General features: G+C 41.1%; 2 long non-coding RNA genes and 1 pseudogene across 4 annotated transcripts; 2 read left to right on the forward strand and 1 right to left on the reverse strand.

Annotated features, from left to right (window-relative positions):
* On the forward strand, positions 802 to 1,080 carry RN7SL148P (RNA, 7SL, cytoplasmic 148, pseudogene; annotated as a pseudogene).
* LOC105373261 (uncharacterized) lies at positions 5,223 to 15,328 on the reverse strand. The gene is made up of 3 exons (XR_949342.3): positions 15,259 to 15,328; positions 11,967 to 12,088; positions 5,223 to 5,985 (listed from the first exon to the last, which is right to left on the reverse strand). It is a non-coding gene; the product is annotated as an uncharacterized LOC105373261 (long non-coding RNA).
* On the forward strand, positions 14,860 to 23,189 carry LOC105373260 (uncharacterized). Of its 3 annotated transcripts, XR_949340.3 has the most exons (4): positions 14,860 to 15,192; positions 20,188 to 20,372; positions 21,263 to 21,578; positions 22,517 to 23,036. It is a non-coding gene; the product is annotated as an uncharacterized LOC105373260 (long non-coding RNA). The 3 variants fall into 3 exon arrangements; XR_949339.3 differs by lacking the exon at positions 21,263 to 21,578 and having other exon boundaries at positions 22,517 to 23,189; XR_949341.4 differs by lacking the exons at positions 14,860 to 15,192; positions 21,263 to 21,578 and adding an exon at positions 15,413 to 15,573.
* The last annotated feature ends 959 nt before the right edge of the window (positions 23,190 to 24,148 follow it).

The following is a 24,148-nucleotide window of genomic DNA, read 5'->3' on the forward strand; positions in this document are numbered from 1 at the left end:
CCCTATGGGTTCCATATTATACCTCTTTTCTTATAACTATCATACTTGAGGTTGTGGAATATCTTTTTAGCCAAAGGCCTATTACGAGAAAAACTAATTTAAAAAAAAAAGATAGGAAAATATAGTCTCTAAGATCTAGGAGCTAAGATGACGATTATTTTTAATTGTTGCTTGTTGAAATGGTTGGAAATGTCTAAGAAAGACAGTTTTATATGGCAAGAGGAGGAGACCATGATACACTGAGGAAAACCAGGACAAAAGTTATAAGGGCCATTTTGAACAAGAGAATGTTCCAATTGTGTTTGTAAAGTGCTTGACAGTGCTTGACCCCCAAGATGGGACAGTGAGATTTCTGGACTGTTTTATATTGAAAGGAAGGCTCCAGTTTTTAAATGAGTTGGGCTCCAAAAGCTGACCCGGAAGTCTGTGTCGTGGAATGTAGACTGCTCTGCTGCATAAGAACATAAGGCATATTTAGGGCCGGGCGCGGTGGCTCATGCCTGTCATCCCAGCACTTTCGGAGGCTGAGGTGGGCGGATCATTTGAAGTCAGGAGTTCGAGACCAGCCTGGCCAACATAGCGAAACCCTGTCTCTACTAAAAATACAAAAGTTAGCTGGGTGTGGTGGTGCACGCCTGTAATTCCAGCTACGTGGGAGACTGAGGGAGGAGAATCGCTTGAACCAGGCAGGCGGAGATTGCAGTGAGCCGAGATCGCACCACTGCACTCCAGCCTGGGCAACAGAGTGAGACTCCACCTCAAAAAAAAGGATAAAGAATATAAGACATTTAGGGACCCCCACCTGTAGTCCCAGCTACTCAGGAAGGCTGAGGCAGAAGCATCACCTGAGGCCAGGAGCTCTGGGCTGTAAGTGCGGTTGGCCCATGGGGAGTCTGCCCTAAGTTCAGCATCATTATGGTGACCTCACTGGAGCAGGGACCACAGGCTGCCTAAGGAGGGGTGAACCAGCCCAGATGGGAAATGCAGCAGGTCAAAACTCTTGTGCTGATCTCCAGTGGGGCTGCAACTGTGAATAGGCACTGTGCTCCAGCCTGGGCAACATAGTGAGACCCTGTCTTTTAAAAACCAAATACATATATTAAAAACCAAATATATATATATATATAGTATTTTTACACTAACAAGAGCCCCTTGATGACCTTTGGAAATGCTTTCTGTCTCTACAATGGCCTCAAGGCCCCACACCCCACTCGTCACCTTGCACAGGCTGCCTTGTGACTGCTGCCCGGCGACTGTCCCCCAGCTTCAGCTGTCCCAGTCACACTGACTCACTGTGCCTTGATCTTGCAAAGCTGCTCCTGCCTCAGGACTTTGCACTGGTTCCCTCTGGCTGGAATGCCAGTCCCTGATCAATCTCCAAGTGGCTCACTGCTTCTCTCCCTCCAGGGAGGTCTTCTCTGACCACAGTCATCCCAACCCTCCACGCTCTGAGTCACCCACGGCTGCTTCATTTTTCTCCCTAACCCTTTCACTTTCTTAACTATTATGCCAAAGGCACTCATTTTATTTATTGTTGATCTCTCCCACCAGCAGGCAGAACCCCCATGGGCAGGAATTTTGTCCATGTTATTCCCTGCTCATTCTTGGTACCTAGAACAGTGCCCAACACAAAGTCAATGCCCAGGACATCTTTGTCAGATGAATGTGATGATTAAAAAGATACTTTAGTGACCACTTTGCAGCAGTGGCCTCAGACTTCAGAAGCCCAGCTGTGTGACTGTGAGCAAACGGCTCACCCCAAGTCTATTTACTCACCTGGGAAGCATGCTTTCTCCGTTCACCTCACAGCACTGCTGCCATGAGCAAACGCAGCCCTGCTTGTAAAGTGATTTGACACGTTCCCTCTCTAAGCCGTGGTTTTCATCTGTAAATTCAGAGTGCTGTATTAGCTATACTTTAAGATCATTTCGCCCTCTTACAGTCCACGGTAATGATGGAGACAAAAATCTGAGCCTCTTTCGTGTTGCCTGGTACTGGCTGTGATGACTCCTTACACCTGACGGCAGATGCGCTGCCCGCCACTTCCATCCGGAAGCCCCCAGCTCTTGTGCCTGATGGCAACATAATTCCGACCCATGTTGCCTGTCTTCCTTTGGGGGATCCCTGCTGCCCACCCAGAGCTTCCTGGGTATGCAGGACACTCCCTGCTACCCATCCAGAGCTTCCTGGGTATGCGGTGGGGTTAACTTTGGTGTCTCCTATCCTCATGTCTTCCTTCTGACCCGTTACGATGTGATCGAGGGACTTCTCAGATCCTCCCAAAGAAGGACCGAGGCATCCTCCCATCTACAGCTACTGTAAGGCTCTGCCACAGGTAGAGGCTGGGATGGATTTTGTGATGATGGATTCCCCAAGGGCTGGGGAACAGAACGCCTTGGAGTATCGTGGAGCCATCCAAATCTTCTTCCATAGACTCAAAGCAGAATAGTCCCTGTAAGCCTAAGCATGAATATACCCCTTTGAATCCCTCCTGCTTCATGGCTGAGCCATCCTCAGAAAGAAAGAAAGGCCTTCTTCCCCTGAGTTACCTGGAATGACCTTTACATGCCAGCCAGTTCGCTCTCTAACTTCTGGGTGTCTCTCAGTTTTCACGTCTGCAGTGCAGCTTTGGCATATATCGAAATTTAAATTTCTAAGATCTATTTTAAATTTCCTTTTTGTATGTTAGGCAGACTTTCCTTTATCCATCCTGAAATCACCTTTGAAATTTTAGACTAGGGCAGATGTCACTTAACGTGACCGGCAAGTATTCCACTCGCCATTTGTTGTGAGTGGTGGTTGTTTTTCCTTTTTGCTTTTTTTCTCTTTCTGTCTTTTTTTTTTAATCACCATCATACTATAAAACCAATTAAAATAAACTCTCCAAAGACTCTTATTTTCTGGCTGAGCTATTCCAACCTCTGACTTTTTCTGAAGCACAAGATAAGACTTTCTGATTAACTGGGAGTGGGATGTTTATTCAATCTGTTCATTTGATACATTGCGGAGACTGCTTTTTCATTTTTATGCCATGTCAGTGGCATATACTTTCTGAAATTAATAAATACAATACATACCATCAATGTGTGAAATTTTTAAAACCCCGTATTTCCATAGTTTGACATACAAAAATGTACTCATACACTTTTGAAATCTACTGTCAAATCATTTCACATCTGTACCTAAAGCAAACAGACATAATGCTAACAGCTTGTTAGAATTCAGAAATGCCACCCGCTAATCAGCCCACCTGTGGCATTCTCAGTCCATCTTGCAAGCTGCATAGCCTGCTGCCAAGAAGCTTGACAAGAAAATGTATATTAAATTATTGAATAAGATGGGAAATACTGTACAGTGTGGGATAAAGAGAATGTGCAACGTGTGGCCAATGAACATACTGTACCTTTTCATTATAATACCTGCCTGGAGGTGACCTAGCTTCATCCCCATGTGCCATAAATGATGAAGCTACTGCTAAGGCTCTGGATGCAAAGTCGGCAGTGAGGTTTTCATAGTTTGCATCAGCTTTTTGTTATGTGTAGTTGGCGTTGGCTAAAACAAAAACCAAGACAAAAAAAAAAAAAAAGCAGAAAGCAAATTTTGAACGGAGTTACACAGGAACAACCCCATTTTCTACAATTCTGTCCTGCGGTTCAGAGCAAAACAAAGAAGATCTGACATTCCTGACGTTCTCTAGAAATCACAGTAGCGACCATGTCAATCAACTCCAATCATTAGATATGATTTAAAAACCTAGAAACATGATCTTTTGATCTTGCCAGGGCAAAAAAGCAAAATAAAATGCAAAGGTGAAATAAAGTGATTAAGATCCTGGAGCAGAATGGGGCAGCGGATCATGGAACAAACCATGAGTACCCTCTGCCCATGCCTGGAAGCTTGTGAGGTCGGCCTAAGCGTGACATTGCACAATCCGATTACATTTCTACAATTATTAGTTTCTATAGAATATAAACTAACATGCTTACAGAAGTATCTTCTCTGGGGGTCTGTGGGTAAGAAATGTTATTTTAGCATCTGTTCTTTTAAGGCTATTTGCTCTGGGAGGGCAGTGTGTTTTGCCATAAATTTAGGTCATTAATTTGTATCTGTTCTTTGTTTATTTAAGAAACAGGACAAAAGGGCAGCTGCTGAAACATTTGGCTGTGCCGAGGGGTAGTGGGCTCGACATGCTGGAGTTCTGCACATGACCAGCTTGAGTTTGTATCCACAGCTACAGGACAGAACTTTATGGAAACACTTTGCCAAGCCATGTGGTGCTCGGCTTCCCTTTGCATCAATACCCTTTTAATTACCTGATCCTGAGGGGGAAAAAGTTAGGGAAAAGTGTCAGTGCAAAAGCCTAGGAACCTGCTGTGAATCAGACTTTTTCAAAAAGACAGCATGATAAAATATCTGGCAATTATTCTACAGGACATCGATCTAAATCCGCAACTAGCCTGCAAAGGTAACACTATGACCTATATAATTTGATATTTATAAACTGAAGCACAATAATATCCACTAAATTGATTGTTAACAACATTTAATGCTCTGAAATTGGCCATTAAGTTGCAGAATGATTTGAAAGGCATTATTGTTATTGTGAAGCATTGCAGAGGTTTTATTTATTATCATAAACCTAATGGACTCAGTAAATTAGGTGTATTTAAAAAGGTCATTTGCTGCTGTTGATACTGAATTCTAAGCACTTTAATTCAAATGGATAACAAAACATAGCAGTCTTTTCAAGGATGGTACACATTTAAGCTACTCCAAATAAACAATACGGAAGCACAGTGCCTGAAATTTGAATAATAGTAATAATAATGTGACAGTACCTGTTAGGATTGTTTTAAAAGCCATATTTGAAAATGATAAATTTTCTATTCGAAACTACATACTAGAAATAAAAGAAATAAAGTAAAATTTATCATAGGTGAATTTTAAACCAAAAAATGTTTGCCTAGAATGGTATTTCTTCTGGATGAAATATGATGCCCCCTTCGCATTTTTTTTTCCTAGAAGAGTCCTCAGTGTGAGAAGATGTGGTAATTTTTTTTTTTTTTTTTTTTTTAGACGGAGTCTGGCTCTGTCGCCCAGGCTGGAGTGCAGGGGCGCGATCTCTGCTCACTGCAAGCTCCGCCTCCCGGGTTCACGCCATTCTCCTGCCTCAGCCTCCCGAGTAGCTGGGACTACAGGAGCCCGCCACCACGCCCGGCTAATTTTTGTATTTTTAGTAGAGACAGGGTTTCACCGTGTTAGCTAGGATGGTCTCGTCTCCTGACCTCATGATCCGCCCGCCTCGGCCTCCCAAAGTGCTGGGATGACAGGCGTGAGCCACCGCGCCCGGCCGCGACGTGGTAACTTTGAAAATCTCAGCCATACGCCTGTCTCAGCCTGGGGGTCTATCCTCGCAAGCCACCTGCAGTGTTAATGGGTTTGTCCGAATGTAGGATGGAAATAAAGCACGTCTCTGGACAGAGATTTTGTTTTTTCTCTGTTGAATGTGTTTTCATGTGAGTAGAAATGATCTTGTGTTTTTCAGATGCTCTCTTTTGAAGAAGTCATAACTGAAAATGTGGTTGAAACTCAGGACTGCTCTTGCAGCGCAACGTCAGCAGCAGTCCCTTCCCTGGAACACTCTGGAAGTCTGAGGAACCTGCAGGCACCTGTGGTTGCTGGAGCTCTCTTCTCTGCGAGAGGCAGCAGGCAGTTCTCTGTGGAGGGACCCAGATGGTCTGCATTCAAGAATGTAAGAAAGGCCCTTAAGCAAGACCTGTCTTTTATTTTCTCTTGCACAGTCTTTGGATTCATCATTAGGGTCACAGACAAACCCCAGAAGTCTTGCTCTCAGAATAAATGTGAATTTCATTCAAAGAAAGAACGTGTTCTTTCCCATCATTGCATTGTTTTGTGCTCAGGTAGTGCAGAGGAAAATTTAGGAAGTATCAAACCACATGATTCCTGGGAATAGCTGAAAAGATCCTTTTCGACATTGGTGGGAAAAGAAAGAAAAACAAATCAATTAGATGTGAGATCTCATCAGATTTCTTATATTCTGAGACTGTGTTTAGAGAGGAAAGCATGGGAAAAAATGCTTCTTGAATATTCGCATAGCAGTAACTTGGTATTACACGTGTACTATCTTAAGTTCATCAACAAACATTTGGGTGGCTCCTAAAGCAGCTTATCTATACAGCACCTACTGCAGGTATAGAAATATGCTAGATATTGTAATAATTAATACTATCTGGAAAATACAATGATTTTTAAAAGTCTTATTGGGGAACTTTCATATACCAAGTTTAGTATACCTAGACTCATTCTGTAGGCTTAGAATAATTTAAAACTACCTTTTTTTTTGTTGTAAACCAAAGGAAACCTAATTGAAGTTATTCTAAAACAGGGAGTAATCCTCAGAATTTATCAGTCTTAGGGAAATTGATCAACATTTCACTACTGAGCTGGGCACAAAGCACTTTGCACTGGTCCCACCCTATCATTATGTTTCAATTCTGTTCATTTCTTGATGCCTTTCTTTTCATCTGACCCTTATCCTGACTCCTGTATTCTCCCAGACTGTCCCCTACTCCCCAAGGGTTTAGTGAATTTAAAAAGCACGCACACATAAAAAGAGACTGGATTCCCAATACCCTAGCATAGACAAAAGGAATCTATCTAGTTCTTTATTGGGCTCTCATCGGCTGTAACAAAACATTTCATATGTATGAAGAAAATATCATATTTCTAATAGATAGAGAAGATCTGAGCCTCTCTTCTACTACCTATACCTCTTCCATTCTCTAGTCTTGCTCACTTTTCAATTCTACCCCAATATCCCTTGACTGCTAAGTTCCTCCACTTTTCTCTGTGTCTTTTTCTCCCTCACCCAGTTCAGATGCTCTACATCTGATCATCTTCCCCAGGGTGGTTGTGGCCTTTCGGATGCAGTCTAGGTGTTAAAGGAATGATTATTCATTGTGATCTCCTCCTCCCCTTATAGAGGCTCTACTCCCTAGAGAAGAGTTTGGCAGCATTTTTCTCAAAGTGGATTAAAAAATGCATCACACTTTTAAAAAAAACCCACATGGCATCTCTCAGGAGACTTCTTCTGATGCAGGTTCCATTTCTGTCAAGAGAAGATGCAATGTTGTAGCAGAAAAAGCATTCAACTTGGACTCAGGAGAACACCCTTCCAATCCTGGCTCTGCTAATTATAATACTAACTGGGGATCTTGTACAAGTCACTTATCTCTCTTGAGGGTCCTAGGTCCCCAGTGTAAAACTAGAGGTTGAGACTAGCGACCATCCAAGGTCCTTCCAGCTCTGACAGTCTCTGAGTCTAGGAAATGAGACCCTGAGACTTTGAAAGGAGCCTTTCATCAAAACTAGGATTTGATGCCGGTGAGTAGAAAATTCAGGCTTCTAACCTCTTGGTATTTTACCTGCAAATCACAAATTTTACCCCATTTGCCAAGGTTTTGCTAGAAAGAACATCTAATAATCATTTAAAGTACAACTTCCCTTTAGAAATCGTTTTTTTTTTTTGAAAGTTTGAACCAACATTCTTCCTTTTCTGGCAATGCCTATATAGTGAGAGGCAATAGATTGAAAAAAAGGGTCAACCTTGTAATTTTGTCTGCGTTATTGGTGAATACTGCAAAGTATAAAGCTTATTCTGAGAAATCACTCTAAAAAAGAAATATTTTCTTTCTGATTCTATAGCTACAGTTAGATCAACCCATCATTCTTTCTACTTATCTATTATAGCCTTGTGTACATACATTTTATACTATTTTAGAAATAAAATTAAGAAACATCCTTTTCATCTTATCTCAATAAATATCCCATGTGAAGTATTTTGTGCTGTTAAGATTCTCACCATTGGGATGCATTTCAGATATACTTGAAAATCTGTAGAGGATCCAGAACTAAAGAATGAGCAAAACTGCTTGATATTTGCATGAGGAAAGGAGAGAAAAGAGGAGGGAGGGAGGGGGGAAGTAAGGAAAGGCAGTCGGGCGTGGTTGATTGCTCTTAGCCACATTTGTGCACATATGAACAAGATCTGTGGTCCCTGTGTCGGGACAGGCTTCATTAGTACCACTGAACTTAAAGACTGCGGAATCTTCAACAGTACGGGGAACTAAGGTGCTTTCCTAGCACACTCAATGTATTGTGCTTCGATTATGTGAAGTACCCTAGAGAGTCTTATAAAAATATCACCTGATGGCTAACGCTTTGGAAAGTACAAGTGTAATTGAGGCCAATGTTTTCCCCATTCCCAGTTCAGCACACAATAGCATACCTTCTTTGAGCAAAGCCCTCTCTGAGATGTGGGTGTAAGCCAAGCTGTCCCCAACACATAGGATGCCTGTGATTGTGTTCCTGAAACTCTCCCTTCTTGCATCTCTTAATCAGCTCATTTTTCTGAGCTCCCTGCCCAAATCAGGACCCAGCTCAAAGTGAGGCTGCTCACAGCAATGAATCTCACCTGCGTCCTGAACACCGTCTCACTGTAACCACGCTCCTGCCCTATCAACCCTTTCTTTGAATCTTGTGTTTTGGACTACATCCTAATAGTCTCTTCTGGATTTGGTCAGGGACGCTGTCAACCCTTACCCTCCTCCAGATGGGTTAAAGAAAATGTTGATATTTAGCAATAAATGAGAAAAACATTTGCAAAGACTTACCCTAGAAAGTCCAAATCTGTAAGTAAAATTAATCATGAATGAGACATTTCTTGGATCTTTTTAACCTCTGTCCACTTAAACCTATCCAAGGTACTAGGCTTCTGTTGGTGCTCATCATGTTATTACAAAGTGATTCAGGTACCAAAAAGGGTCAGGCTTGGTGTCAACCAATATTAAATCTTAACTTAGATATCACATGAGTGTTAAAGATACATACAAGAGGCCAACTTTCCAGCCCATGGTGATTCCCCAAGTTTATAACAGCCCAACATCTAAGTTTATGGATTTTATAACCAAGCAGATAAGTTACTGATGTAAAATTAAACTAACATTTATTAAAGACTTACTGTGTACTAGCCAATGAACTAAGCATTTTCTGCGCATTATCTCCCTGAGTTTTCTCAACTAACTTCTGTGGAATGCGTTATTAGTTCCACTTTAGTAAGCGACTTGCTCACGATGGTACAGCTACTGAAGCCACAGTGAGAAAACGGGCCCAGGCCCAATACCTAAAAGAGGATTGCTGTGCTAAACATTAAAATACTTAGTTCAGATTTCTTAAAGTAGGCAATCATGGAGTATAGATTTTGAAGCAAATCATCTGTAATGGGAGTATTTGCTCAGGACAGTGGGGGAAGACTAAATGACATGAAGGAGAGAGAAAGGCAGGGCAAGGTGATTCCCGCTTTCCAGGGCCCAGGACTGTTATGCAGAGGACAGTAACAGACTATTCTTCAACATTCCCAGGGAGGGAAATAAATGGATGTCTTCTGGAATAGGAAGGATTCAGTTTAAATACATAAAATATTTTCCCATATAGGTAGTTGTGAGACACAGGAATGTGTCTTCAAGGAAAATGACAGAATCTGTTTCGCTGGAGCCCTTTAACACATAGGATAGATTTTCCTTTCAACAGAAGTGAAGACCCACAGGGAGGATGCAGAATTCCTTCCCTCTAGGATTCTGTAACCATTACAATTCTAAATAGTCTTCTGGCATTACATTCTTCTAGCAATAAGTCATTTGAGACCATGACAGCCAAATATTTGCAGACTCAGAAAGAAGACTGGGAGTTGAAACTGGGTGAGATGCCATCATTTTTAACCTCAAGATTACAGTTTAGATGAGAAATGAGTACTGGAAGGAAGGGCATGAATCAAGGAAGAGGATTGTATCCTAATTTAGTATTTGTTAATTAAATACAATTAGAACAGTCTTTTTCCTATTCCGGAGGTACAAGACTCTGTCCTGTAAAGCCATTGAAAAGAGAAAAAAAAAATGACCCTTTTTTCTGTAGCTCCTATAGAGAATGCAATTTTTTTAAATTTTATTTATTTATTTTATTTTTTAGATGAAGTCTAGCTTTGTCGCCCAGGCTGGCGTGCAGTGGCACAATCTCAGTTCACTGCAACCTCTGCCTCCCAGGTTCAAGAGAGTCTCCTGCCTCAGCCTCCTGAGTAGCTGGGATTACAGGCACCTGCCACTACACCCAGCTAATTTTTGTATTTTTAGTAGAGGCGGGGTTTCACCGTGTTGGCCAGGCTGGTCTCGAACTCCTGACCTCAGTTGATCTACCCACCTTGGCCTCCCAAAGTGTTGGGATTACAGGCGTGAGCCTGCGTCTGGCTGGAAGCAAATTTTTAAATCATTCACAAGCCCTTAAAGTTGTAGTTCGCTTCTATTTTAAGCCATAAAGAAATGAAATAATAATTTTTGGAAACAAGGTTTTAAATCTTTACTTCTTAAAGTAACCATTAATCAAAGAAGAAATCTCTATGCATGCAGCAGTTGAATGAGGAATTCAAGGTCTATTTTAATTAGTGATTCATCATAGGTCCGCATTCTTTGGGAGAGACAGGGTCTTGGGGAGATCATATCAGTGATAAATCAGTCTGTGGGAAGTAAGAATTTTGATAAAATTTGGAACTCTGATCCAGGGAGCTGTTTTTGGTGATTTCTTAAGGCTCTGATGGCATGCTGTCACCAGATGCATCATTATTTTGAAACTAAAAAAAAATGTGAGAAGGCCTGGGAAAATCTTGTGGGCTGGAAATTGCTTGTGGACGAGTAGGGCTAGCTTGTAAAACTCATTTGCTGGAAAAGATTATTATTGTCTTTCTTCTTTACTTTCAATCATTGAAAAATATTATTCTCTATGTGCCATTAAGTGCCAGTCTGTTTTTTTTAAAGAAACAATAGCAACAATTTCCAAACACTCAAAACATACTTCAACATGCTATTTTAAGAGAAATATACATGAGCAATGGTTTTGAGCAAACCCATTTTTAATCCAGATTAGACATTCGGCAGCAAGTTAAGAACGTTTGCTTTGATTGCCTTACTCAACTCTCCATCACGCCCCTGAGACTCTCTTCAGCAGTTCTGATGTAGTGTACGCTTTCCATTGTTTTCTTTATTGATTTAATCTTATAATTTGAGGTTTGAGACTGATTATCCAGCTTTTTATACAGCAGTACTATTTTTCTTTCTCTGTTTAACACATCGCAGAGAACTGAGTGTCAGGTTTCTATCTCATATGTTCTACAATTCTGTGTTCTGGTGTGATGCCGGCAAAACTGGTATAATTCGAGACAAATAGTGATCTTTCCAAGTTTCATAAAATAAATGCTTATAATTTATAGGAATTAGAAATGCAAATATTGAAATGCTTTAGAATAGCACATGGTTACATTTTAACAATTTCAAAGACAGGCAGAATTAGAGATACTGACCTGACCTCCTTCCAAATTACAGCTACCATTCTAGACTGAACAAGAATAAGCAGAATGACTTCTCTCAGAAGAACGGAGAGAGAGAAAACACTCATCACCCTGTCACGGTGTCGGTTTCTAGCTTAGAAAGGTGAACACAGTGCTCCAGGGCCATGCACACTTGTCCACATGTCCTTTCGGTATTGGAAAATAAGGCAGCATTTAGGTGGGTATAAGCATCATTCTGTCAGTTGTTGAAGTCTCCACTGTTGATGCCAATTGTGTTTTCCCAAATGTCTTAAAAATCTGTTTGAATAAAAATGTCAAACCCTCATATGATTTCTAAAGTTGTAGGGGGCATTTGAGGTGAGCTGCATAGTTGGAAACAACATCTTAATGATCTCTCCATCTCCTACAATGCCCAGCACAGTGTTTTGCTCAATAATTCTGTTTAACATTGGAATAAATGAATGGGTCTAGTGTAACTGATACCCTGATGCAGGCAGCCCTTCTCTGCATTCCTGAATATCTCACTAGTCAACCTGAGCCTATTACAGCTTACCACGAGTGGTTCCAAAGCTCCCCCTGATGTTGAGCCAAAGTTGGTCTGGCTGTAATTTCCACCGATGAATCCCGGTCTCTATGTTGGAGGGAGTAGTCTATTCCCTTTACTACAGGATAATCCTGCTAATATATTAAGAAAGTTATCACATCTTCCCTTAGGCGTCCCCAGAATAATATTTCCCAATCCCTCCAGCACTGCTTGTAAGAAAGAGGAAACGGCTAGGTGAGGGCTCAGTAAACTTGCATTTGGGTCCTATTGCTGCGAATGATCTATGTGACCTTTGGTGGGCCACTTAATTGCTCTGGTCATTTATAGATTCATGTATAAGATGGCATTTTTACACTTGTCTGTTTACCTGGTAGTATTGTTTTGGGGAATCAAACCCTCTGAAAATTGTCAGATGTTATGAAAACGTAAGATATTTTTATCACTATGAGACGTAGTTTCTAGCCACTTCACCAATCTAGCACCCTTCCCATGGCTGTGCCCATAGTTTGCCATTGTATTCCTTAAAATGTGGGGATCAGAATTAAATTAACTCACTGTTCATCCATTATTGGCCTTTTACAGTAGAAACAAAAGGAGGAGAAAGGAAGAAGTGAACTCACATTATTTAAAACTTACCCTGTGCCGGACCCTTAATTCTTTATTTATTTTATTCCTCATACTAACCCTTGAAGACTTGTGTAGTATAGGTAAGTAAAGAAAACCATAGAAATTGTAAGTAATTTGCTCATGTCACCAAGGTCAACTTGACTCGTGTTCTCTCCACTCTAACATGTTTGCCACAATTTTTATTATTCCCATAATTAGGACACTCTACTTCTATGATTGGAACAGTCAGCAATGACAACATTTTCCTTTGGCTAGAGCATAATGCTGACTTGTATTAATCTTGAAGTAGGCTCAAAGCTTTATGTTTTCATTTTTATTTTGTTTCACATATATTTCTATTAATATTTACCCTGTACTTGTACAACAGGTTTGGGGGCCTAAATTCCAGCCTTTTTAGAGATCCTTTCTAAACTTGGTGTGATCTCACATTATTCACAATCTGTGTTTAATAATTCTTTTTTTTTTTTTTTTTTTTTTTTTTTTTGAGACTGAGTCTTGCTCTGTCACCCAGGCTGGAGTGCAGTGGCACGAACTTGGCTCACTGCAACCTCCGCCTCCTGGGTTCAACCAATCCTCCCACCTCAGCCTCCCTGGTAGCTGGGATTACAGGCACCTGCCACCACGTCTAGGCTAATTTTTGTATTTTCATTAGAAACAGGGTCTCACTGTTTTGGCCAGGCTGGTCCAGAACTCCTGGCCCCAAGTGATCCACCCGCCTGGGCCTCCCAAAGTGCTGGGATTACAGGCGTGAGCCACTGCACCCAACCTCAACTTGATCTTTAACTGTCTGTCAAGGGTATGAGTTCAACCATTTCAAATGTGAAGACCATTCTCCCTCTAGGAAAAACTAGAAGCAAAGTGGAAGTTAAGTAGCTCCACTTGTTTCATCCCTAAGAAAGAAGACTATCTTTCCTTTGTTCCTCACCTCCCTCTGTGAACGTGGCCCAGTAAGTCATCCCATGTCTGAGCCTCCTATGGTTAGTAGGCAGAATAATCGCCCACACAATTCTCAGGTCCTAATCCCTGGGACCTGTAAATGTTGCTTCACATGGAAAAAGGGACTCGGCACGTGTGATTAAGTTAAGAATCTTGAGATGGGGAGATTGTCCTGGTGGGGCCTAAATATAATCACAAGTGTTCTTCTAAGAGGGAGGTAGAGAGAGATTTGATACAGATGGAAGAGGAGGAGGTGAAGTGACCACGGTGGCAGATTGGGACCATGCAGCCATAAGACAATGGATGGTGGTAGCCACTCAAAACCAGGAGAGGCAAAGGACAGGTTCACCCCTATAGCCTGTGGAGGGAATGTGGCTGGTGTCGACACCTTGATTTCAACCCAGTCATACTTATTTTTGGACTTCTGACCTCCAGAACTCTGAGCAAATAAGTTCAGTTGTTTTAAGCCACCAGATGGTAGGGGGGTAGTTTGTTACAGCAGCCACAGGAAACTAATACACTCTCTTGTGTTATTCTTTGATGTTCCTAAAACTCTTGTAATCTCCTTGGGTTGTATGCTCCTCCTTCCTTTTAATCTATATACATATTATTTACGTTTCCATAAAACACATTCCACATATTTTCTTATAATATCTGAGCTTACCAGACTGACATCCGTACTTCACACTGGTCTTTTGAAATGTTGTCACTTAGAGGTCAGAAAACATAAAATATTGTTTGGACAGATATATAACGATTTTCGAATGTCTTCCTTTTTGGGTTTTCAAATATTGATGATACAAGAATGCTTACCAGCTACTGGTTATTATTTGTTTGGTAAATTAAAAAGTTTTTTGTGCTAGAAGTTCTGCAGATGCCAGTAGATCCAGTGAGCTAATAGCCCAGGGGAGATGCCTTTCTGGGAGGGGAGAGACCCAGGGAGAGCCTCCCCTCCCCCCAGCATCCTGGGTAGCTCTGAGGAATCTCACCTAAATCTGCTGTCTTTTACAAAAACTGGACAATCTAATGTCTCTTTTGAATAACCCAATTGGAACTGGGTAGTTACCCTCAGTGTGTCCCAGAGTAACAGCAATGGAATTCATGTTTACTAATCTGTCTTTTCCTGTTCCTGTATTTCTTTGGCCACATGTCTAATGTTCAAAATAATCAAATCTTAAGAAAAGTTACTGCATTTTAGAAGAGTCTGAAACAGGTCCTGTATAATTTCTGTGTCTGCTCTGCATAAAAAGTATCCTACATTGAAACTATTAAGAAAAGCAGCCATACCAAAGAATCATTTATTGCTCTCAAGCTTATTGAATTTTTGCTCTGGAACCATTAGGGCTGTTATCTGTTATCTAGGTGTGAGGAAGGGGATTTGGGTGGGAAAGGAGAGGGGAGTCGCTGAATGGAAAGTGAGTGAGGAGGAAAGAGATAAAGGATGCTGAGGAGAAAGGCAGCAGGTTTGACCGAGATTCCCAGCTGCCCAGTCTCTGAATATCAGAACTTATTTACATGCTGTCGGGAGAGGGGCAGAGAGCAGAACTTTCCAAAGCATGAAGTTCAAGAGTCCGAATATCTGATTCTACTCCTTTTCAAAACTGTGTCACCAAATCCTGTTCAGTTCCTAAAGCCCCACCCTCGGATTCCCATGTGCCTGTCTTCAAACATGGTACGTCTTCTTTCTCCAGTGAGATGAAACTAATGTATTCTGCCACATGCTTCAGAAATACTTAACCTTGTTATTTGATAGCCATGTGTTTTCGTGCGGAGGTAGGAGGAGCTGTTTCGACTCTTTTTCACTGTGAAAGAGATGGACTGTTTGAACCGAGAGGGTCCCCCCGGCAGTTGGGAATGGCAGTTGTAAAGTAACAAATGCGCGGTGGCCCAGCAGGACCCAGGGGGTGCTCAGACACCTCCCAGAGACCGTAACCCACTAACGGTGCCAGTGCCCATTTCACTTTTCTATTTCTGTCCTTCCAGGATTCTTGACAAGTGACATCTAACCTATTCACAGACAATTTTTAAAGCAAAATAATAGTGAAATCAATGAGTAGGTTTTTTAAAATTTTTTTGGCTCGTCTGTTTCTCTTGTGTTCTTGAAGGTCGACATTCTCATTATTGCATCTTGATATCTTATCTGAGGTTTCAATCACTGTCCAGCTCTTGTATTCTGTGATGCACGTGGATTTCTTTATTAAGCACCCACTGAGTGGAGGGTGAGATATTTAGCCCTGTGGCAAGCACAGCATGGGAACCTTGATCATAGAGAGAGGGACAAAATGCCCTACCCCTGTGGATGACAAGAACTCTCCCATGGCAACGTACACCCCCAGGATACTTGACAGCAGACAAGGATTAGATCAGTGCTGAAACTGCAGAGCAAGGGGGCTGTCAACACTGAAGGTCTTCATCAGAGACGCCATTTAGGAGCAGAATGGGAGGCGAGGGAGCTGCACTTCTGTGCAGGGCTAGGAAGAGGGAGAGGCAAAGGAAGCATTTGCATCTGGTGCCGAATTTAAAACGGTGCCAAAAAACTCAGGAGTCATATTAGGCATATTTGAACACAAGAGTTTTGAAAATCACAACTAATACAAAAAATCAATAATGAGCAACATGTCAAAATGTTGAAGAAAGACAGGGTTGATATTACTGGTTTTTCCCTTTCTTTCTCAGGTTCTGTCATGGCTCCACATGGAGCCTGTAAGTGAGGAGGGAGAGGAGATGGAGGAAAGGAGGCTAGTGCATTAGAGATAGTTACCAAGGTACTGATAGAAGAATGAAAAACTCACATAATTCTGTTAGGCAGAGAAGCTTGGCTAGGATAGAGATCCAGGTAAGGGGATGTTAAAAGATAAAAGGTGAGCTGAGTGTGGTGGCTCACGCCTGTAATCCCAGCACTTTTGGAGGCTGAGGCGGGCGGATCTTGAGGTCAGGAGTTTGAAACCATCCTCGGCAACATGGTGAAACCCTGTCTCTACTAGAAATACAAAAATTAGCTTGGCATGTTGGTGGGCACCTGTAATCCCAGCTACTCGGGAGGCTGAGGCAGGAGAATCGCTTGAACCTGGGAGGCAGAGGTTGCATCGCACCACTGCACTCCAGCCTGGAAGACAGAGCAAGACTCCATCTCAAAAAAAAAAAAAAAAAGAAAGAAAAGAAAAGATAAAAGGTGAAATGGAGAAAGAGATGTGGAAGTCATTAAGAGTGGGATGAGCAGTCATAACCTGAGTCTCAACCTACGAGAACTGATAGGCAAGATTTGTCACAGTGAATTACCAAAAACAGTGGGGAGTATCCCAAAAGGACAACTGCAGCAACAGCGTGTAGGAAGGGTTGAAGGGTAGGGAATGGAAAATAAACATTTCCAAAAGCAGTTATAGACAAAAAGAATGTGCAGAACCCAATCATTTCGATATGGTGATAAAAGAGAAAAAAGGAAGCAAAAAATGTTAGACATCTGCCCACCTTCTGGGTGGAGATGAGTCTCCACTACCCACGAGATCTTGGCAGTAACTGAAGTGAATGAAGGGCGTGGAATAGCACTGAAGGAAGAAGCGGGAGAGCCACATTTGGGGCTCTTGTGTGTACAGGGGAGATTTGACCCCAGTTGAGGCAAAGAGCTCAAGAGTAGGGGCTCAGAAATAACGGACAAGAGGTCAAGAATTGGTTTGCACACTCAGTGTTTCCTAAGAGGGTAGCGCTGTTTATGTTTTGGCATAACATGTGTTTGTCATATGGAACTGTTCCATATATCCCACAGGACAATTTAAGTTTTTGCTCCTATCCCCTTTCCCCACCTCCTCCACCCATTAAATGTCAGCAGTACCCTCCAATCACTGGGACAACTGGAAAAGGCCCCACACATATCTAAACAGAATATGTTTTCTGACCCTCCAACCCCGGCCCGTTGAGAACTCCTCTGGGGAGGAAAAGCATCTGCATTCAGGGAAGAATTGTCCAAGAGATACCAAGATATAATAGCGTCACAGAAAGTCCAAAGGCAAAAAGGTTCCCAAAGGGAGGGTAGTCAGTGGTGTCAAATGGAACAGAAAGATCAATAAGGACACCCTGAGAAAACAGAAGACAATTGGGGAGGTGTTTCTCATAACACCTTTGGTTATTCCAAAATGTCTGTGTGTTGTCCTATGTGGTCAGTGATACGACAGCTGTATTTTTTCAGGGAAGGCTCAATTTTTATGTTTTTTGATTATACTCCTGTTCACACAGTTATACAATCTGAGGATCTACTCTAGTAAAAATGCCATTTTATATTTAATCTATGTATTATTTGTGTATATGTTTGTATATGTGCATGTAATATGGGCTAATTCATGGAAGAGTGTAGCTTGATAAGCAAAAATGTTTTCTCATTGTTGATATGAATCCATTAATGCCATCTGTGAAGCTATCTGTAGGATGATGACATGCAAATTTTCCTTTTACTTTTTTCTAAATGTAAAGAATATTTTTGTGGGTGTGTAGAAATAAAAGGGCAACACGATCATGTAGAAATGAATCTGCCCAAATATAAATGGTAAGTTTGTAATTAAAATTACAAAATTAAAAAAGCCTAATCCTGGCTTCTTCCTTATCAGTCAAGATCCTTCAAAGTTGTTTGAGCGCTTCACCTGCATTTCTTTGTATCTGTAGTTAGTCCTTGAACTTGCAGAAAGGTTTTGCTATGGTTTCCTCTTTTGGAGTATTTTCTCTTGCAAGTGAAATGGAGAAGGTAATTTTTATGTAGTATTTTTCATTCAGTTTAGTCTAGTCTTGCAGTTGGACACTTCATTTGGCATATGGTCTTTGGAATGATCACGGTTGTCCATTTCCACTGAGTTCTGTTGGTTGTACTGAATCAAATTAGATAAAAATTTGTGAGTTTCTACTTAGCGTTCTATGAACGTTTTTTCTAAATTGTTGGTTTTGGAGGATTGCATTACTCTAGTTCTAGCTACCATGTTCTCTCCAGATTGCAAAACAGACTATGGAATAACATTTTTAAACATAAAATACAACCCTTAAAGTTTCTTAATTCCTCTTTCTGAATCTCATATTGTCAACAGAGGTCTTTTTTCCCTCTTATAATGTTCAAAATGATCTGCCCTTTTATGAATGCCTTGAGACTATCACACAAAGCTAACGGTGAGGGAGCAGATGCCTCATTCAATTCCAAATAGAAGGAAATCTGTTGTCTCAAATAATCCCTAAATTCAGACACTTTCAGACAGCTATTATCAAGAGACCACATTCTAAGAGCAGATGTGTTATTAAGGCTGAGAAATGTTATGAGGACTTCGTGATCTGACAAATGATTTCAATCTATCCAACATTCCAACATTTCATCTTTTAATAAATTAGAGATTAAAATATCCATTTTGGGGAGGCAATTTGTATAAGGTAGTTGGAAACTGGAGTTGTAACTGATACTTCATTTCCATGCAAAACTGCCTAAATTATACTTACAGGTCCTTTTTATATATAAAGTATGCTCATTTGACTGAAGCAATTATGATGTATTTTAATCTCTGTATGGAGTCCTATAGCTCCTTCTCACAGATATGAAACACAACTCCTGTTTTTCAGTGAGGAATAAGAAACAAACACAACCAGGCATTAGCTGCCCCACCTAAATGTGCTCAATCATTCCTTTATATCTTTCAGTTTACCTTTACGTGATTATTTAGAGCCTTTTCGGTGAAGCAATTACTGAAAAATTCTGCTGAGGGCTAACACTCTTCTTTTCTTGTTGGAGTGTGGTTATCTGCTACTAAACCTCTTTTTTTTTGTTAAAGGTGCAATAGAGCTCTTACATTCTTTGCATAATAGAATCTTCTTCTGGGTTGAAGTGAATGTTTTCACCGGCCCTATTCAGAATCACAAATTGTCCCATCCAATAACAAAGTGTACATTCCTCAGCACTTGCAAACTGCTTATTACCCATGGGTTGTACTTTGATCTCCCAAGAATACCTGTGGTGCTATAGGATTTTTACATAATCCTATCATTGCCAAAGAGAATAAAACTTAGATCCAGGTGAACATCAGTTACTATAAATAACACGAAAAGCAACAAAGCCACCCAAATTCTCTTCGGCAGGGTTGCCCCCAGCTGTGCATATATTGGAATTTATGTTCTACCTGACCTTATGAAAAGTAGCTAACAAAATGTCCTTGAGCAGTTTTCTTTAATCATCTGGAGTTGATCTCCTGGCTCAACATCGGTAGATGCTTCCTTGGTGTGAAATTTGGGGGCTGAAATAAATCATCGAATAATTTTCCTTATGACTGATAATTTTTTTTATCTTTAACCTTAAGAATCAGAATTTGACAGCTAGATTTCAGGGGAAATGGCATTTATGTTAAATTTTTAAAAATATGTTAAATTGTCAAAATCCTAAATATGGAAATGTAGCAAAACAAAAGAGAATGGAGCCTTGTGGTTGGGCTGAGGGACAACTGCTTATCAGCAGTCCGAGGGTCCACAGCAAACAGCACACTTGGCTCCCATGAGCATGCCGCCGGCAGGGAGCAATGTTACCCTCCCCGATGTTCCCACTCTCCAAACACTTCTGATTGTTTTTTTTTTAACCCATAACAAATTTAAGCTTTATGAATATCACCATCCCAAACTTGTTCACTTACTGATTCATTCAACAATGATTTAGCTCCTACTGTGTGCAACATGAAATCAACTGAAAAGTCTTCAGAAGGCAGATATTCAAAGAAACTTGCTACAGAGCACAGAAGTTGTATAATAGTGATCCGATTGAAGCAGAATGTTGTGTATAAGGAGTTGAAAGAACACTAAAATTGGTGGCAACCTTGCCACTTGCAAGCTTCGTGATTTAAGGTATGTTGCTAAGGCTTTTGTGCATCAGATTTCTCGCCCCTCTAAAGTGGCCATTGCTAAGTAAGTACCTACTATCTATAATCACGATTTTGGGCACTCTGTGGAACTTATTTTAACTTCCAGCAGTAATGAGATCAGATGTATCGGTAATTGCGATACAAAGAAGAAAAAAGAGATGAGGTCAGTAAGAGAGGCATAGGTTGCTACTGAAGTCCAGGGAAGCAGGTGGCTATTTGCATTTGGGGATGAATGTTGGGAAGGAAAATAAATTTGATTTGAGTCTTAAAGAGTGGGCAGACACTAGGTGTGGTGGCTCATGCCTGTAATCCCAGCACTTTGGGAGGCTGAAGTGGGAGGATTGCTTGAGCACAGGAGGTCAAGGCTGCAGTGAGCTGTGATTGCACCACTGCACTGCAGCCTGGGCAACAGAACAAGACCCTGTCAAAAAAAAAAAAAAAAAGAGTGGGCAGCATTTGGATGCAAAGAAATAGGTAAAATTTTACCCCAGGGAGAGCGAGCAAGATGGAAAGCACATAGAGGTGAGATGAAGCCCACATTTTTATGTGAAACTCCAAGCATTTTGGCAGTGTTAAGTTCTATTTTTTTTCCGTTTTGTTATTGCTTGCTTGCTAGTTTATTTTTGTGAGGAATTCTCTTGGTCTCATTTCTAGGTTCAAGGGAATTCATGCAAGAAAAGATTGCAAAGGTGTGTCAGGCGAGAGGTAGGAAAATAATGGCATAGTGTTTGGGATAAGATGAGGGACACAGGGGCCAAGGGGAGGCAGAGACCTCATTAAGGAAGAAGTTGAGGCCAAGCCAAGACGAGTAGATGCAGAGGAACAGGCAGAGCTCAGGGCAGCGGAGATAGTCCACACCTAATGCACCCATAGTTCTCTATGACAGGTTGGCTCCTGTTGAGTCAAAGGAGCCAGGAGGTGGAGGCTGAGAAGATTTAGAAGCTCTGATGAAGTGGATGGAGAACAGAACCAACTGTGGTTATGTAGAAGTGTGGGGCAGCCCTGAGGGTCAGCTGACATCAGGAATCATGTGTTGGTGATGGAGGAGCCAGATAGGATGGTAATTTCCTATGAAATCTGAGTGGGAGAAGATCAGAAGGGAACACTAAAGATAGAGACAGAAGGCAGAAACTTGATGGAGCCAGGTCATGGAGCAGGCAGGAGGAGATGGGAGCAAAGGTAAAATGCGGTAAGTAGAAAGATGGGGCCCAGTGCTGGGGTGGAGAGAGCTCTTGGAGAACTGGGTGCATATTATTTTCTCTGAATAGGAGGGAGGAAGAATTTTCAGGAAATCATTTCTCTCCGGGGGTTAGTGTATTGGGAATTTAATTGTGCCTGGCCCAATTTAAAAAGCTGAATAAGTAAATTTTCAAAGATATCCTAAAACTCAATAGAAAAGAGGTATGCAAATAAACCTTTGGGTTCTATTATGTAAATACATTAAAACTCAATAGAAAAGAGGTATGCAAATAAACCTTTGGGTTCTATTATGTAAATACATCTTTAATGTAGCCAGCACTTGGAAAACAGTCTAACTCAAGGAAGATAGATAGATTTAAACTAATAAACCAACTCCTGCTTGGTGGTGGCTGCTTGGAGTACTGTACTGAAAATTTGGGGGATCAACAGGAAATGGTGTTGTGGTCAACTTGTGACAGCTAGTAAGGTTGCAGAAGAGGAGAGTGGGGTACGTTTACCACATACTCACCATTCATGAAGGTAGACAGAATATGCAAGGTAGTTTACCTATCAATTAAATACAATAGTTAACTATATCCTTACAGATTGCAAGTATGTTTTACCTGTAAAGTCCTTTGATCTCTTGCTTAGAAGATGACACATCTTTACAAATTATAAAAATATGAGCAATACATTTTGTCAAATGAGTGTTTATCTTTTACCTGAGCTAAAATTACTATCAGGAGAATTGTTTGGTTAAAGTGAACTATGTCCATGGAAACATGATTCTAAAATCTTTCAACTGCTGAAAGTTTCAAAGACCCTTGCACTTTACAGGCTGACAAAAATAAAAAGATATGCAATGGTTATTTTATAATTTCAGGGAAAAGAAGAAAATTCATGTTTACTGAGACCTGTTTTAGGTCCTTCATATGTGTTCTCATTTAGTCCTCAGGGCAACTCTGTGAGATGGAAACTGAGTGAAGCTGAAGGAGGTGGAAATTTGCTCCAGGGAAACAGCTCTCACGCGACAAAGGCGGAAGGCAAACCTAGGTCTCGCTGACTCCAAGTCTGTGTTCTTTCCATCACTAGGGAAGAAGAGGCACATGAATGACTGAAACTAAAAACAAACGTTAAAACGCTATCAATTTTGCACATAATAGAAGGGAGAAATTATGATCACTACAATGCTGGGAATGTACATCTTAACATATTGCTCCTAATTTCTTATCAGCAGATTTTAAAAATGCATCTATCTAGGTTTGCTTTAAAAATAGATCAGTTAGAAGGCAAAATTGTACGAGTGGATATTATTAATGATACTGAATTTCCATGTATGTGAACTAGCATTGAGTGGCACTTTGATAACACTCATCTAATCCTATTTAGTGCCCTTTCTCTCTTTTGCTGTCAAAGCCTAGGTACGGGTTCGTGCTTTGTCTCATAACCTCTTGGTTAAAATGTAACATCTGGGCCGGGCGTGGTGGCTCACGCCTGTAATCCCAACACTTTGGGAGGCTGAGGTGGGCAGATCAAGAGGTCAAGAGATGGAGAACCTTGTCTCTTGACATGGTAAAACCCCCTCGCTACTAAAAATACAAAAATTAGCCAGGTGTGGTGGCAGGCGCCTGTAATCCCAGCTACTCAGGAGGCTGAGGTAGGAGAATCGCTTGAACCCGGGAGGTGGAGGTTGCAGGGAGCCGAGATCACGCCACTGCACTGCAGCCTGGCAACAGTGCGAGACTCCGTCAAAAAAAAAAAAAAAGTGACATCTGTACAAGAAAGGTAGGACCACATAGCCAGCTGAACACTGATGCAGGTATGGATGAAGTAAGGAAAAAGAAAGAAGTAAAGTTGGTCTTCTGGAAGTCCAAAGGCAATGCCAGCTTGTAATTCTGCACAGGGTGTTACTGGGGTTCAAATATAAATAGTTTTTCTAACTCAGAAACAAATCTAACATATTAAGTGTTTCATTGAAGGCCCCAATTATGTCTAGAGTTTTGCAGAGTTTATTTTAAAATGTATCTCGAAAAGCTGGTGGTCCAAATTTTTCCCTAGACTTACACATGATGAGAATCTGTCTCTTTATATTTAGCTGCAGGGCACCTAACAAGTTCTTAGGCGAAACACATTATTTTGCTAGTACAAGAAGAATAAATACTGTATTTGGAAAGTTCCAGTGTTCTTTAAAATATCGCTGTTTCCATAGCAATAACATAATGTACTAAAGAGTAGAATGGTGTTTCTTTAGAAACCACGTGTATGGATGCATGTTCCCATGAAGGGCTTTGAAGCATCTCACCTGCTCGTGGTCCCAAAATGGAACAACAATAGTAATCGAATCAATCATCTTATGAAATGAAACTCGGCCAGCTTTCTACTGCCTAACGCTGTCAGCCTTCTGCTTTTGGTCATCTGTGTAGTGTCTTTTTAGGCTCTGTGCTCTTAGATGGTGGAAAATAGATCCATGTTCATTCATTAGTTCATTTGGTCAACAGATATGTATTAAACACCTATTATATGCCAGGCACGGTTCTAGGCACTGAGGACTCAGTGACATTATGGAGTTTACATTCTAAT

This window comes from Homo sapiens, chromosome 1, assembly GCF_000001405.40.
Source record: "Homo sapiens chromosome 1, GRCh38.p14 Primary Assembly".
In the NCBI taxonomy this organism is placed as follows: Eukaryota; Metazoa; Chordata; class Mammalia; order Primates; family Hominidae; genus Homo; species Homo sapiens.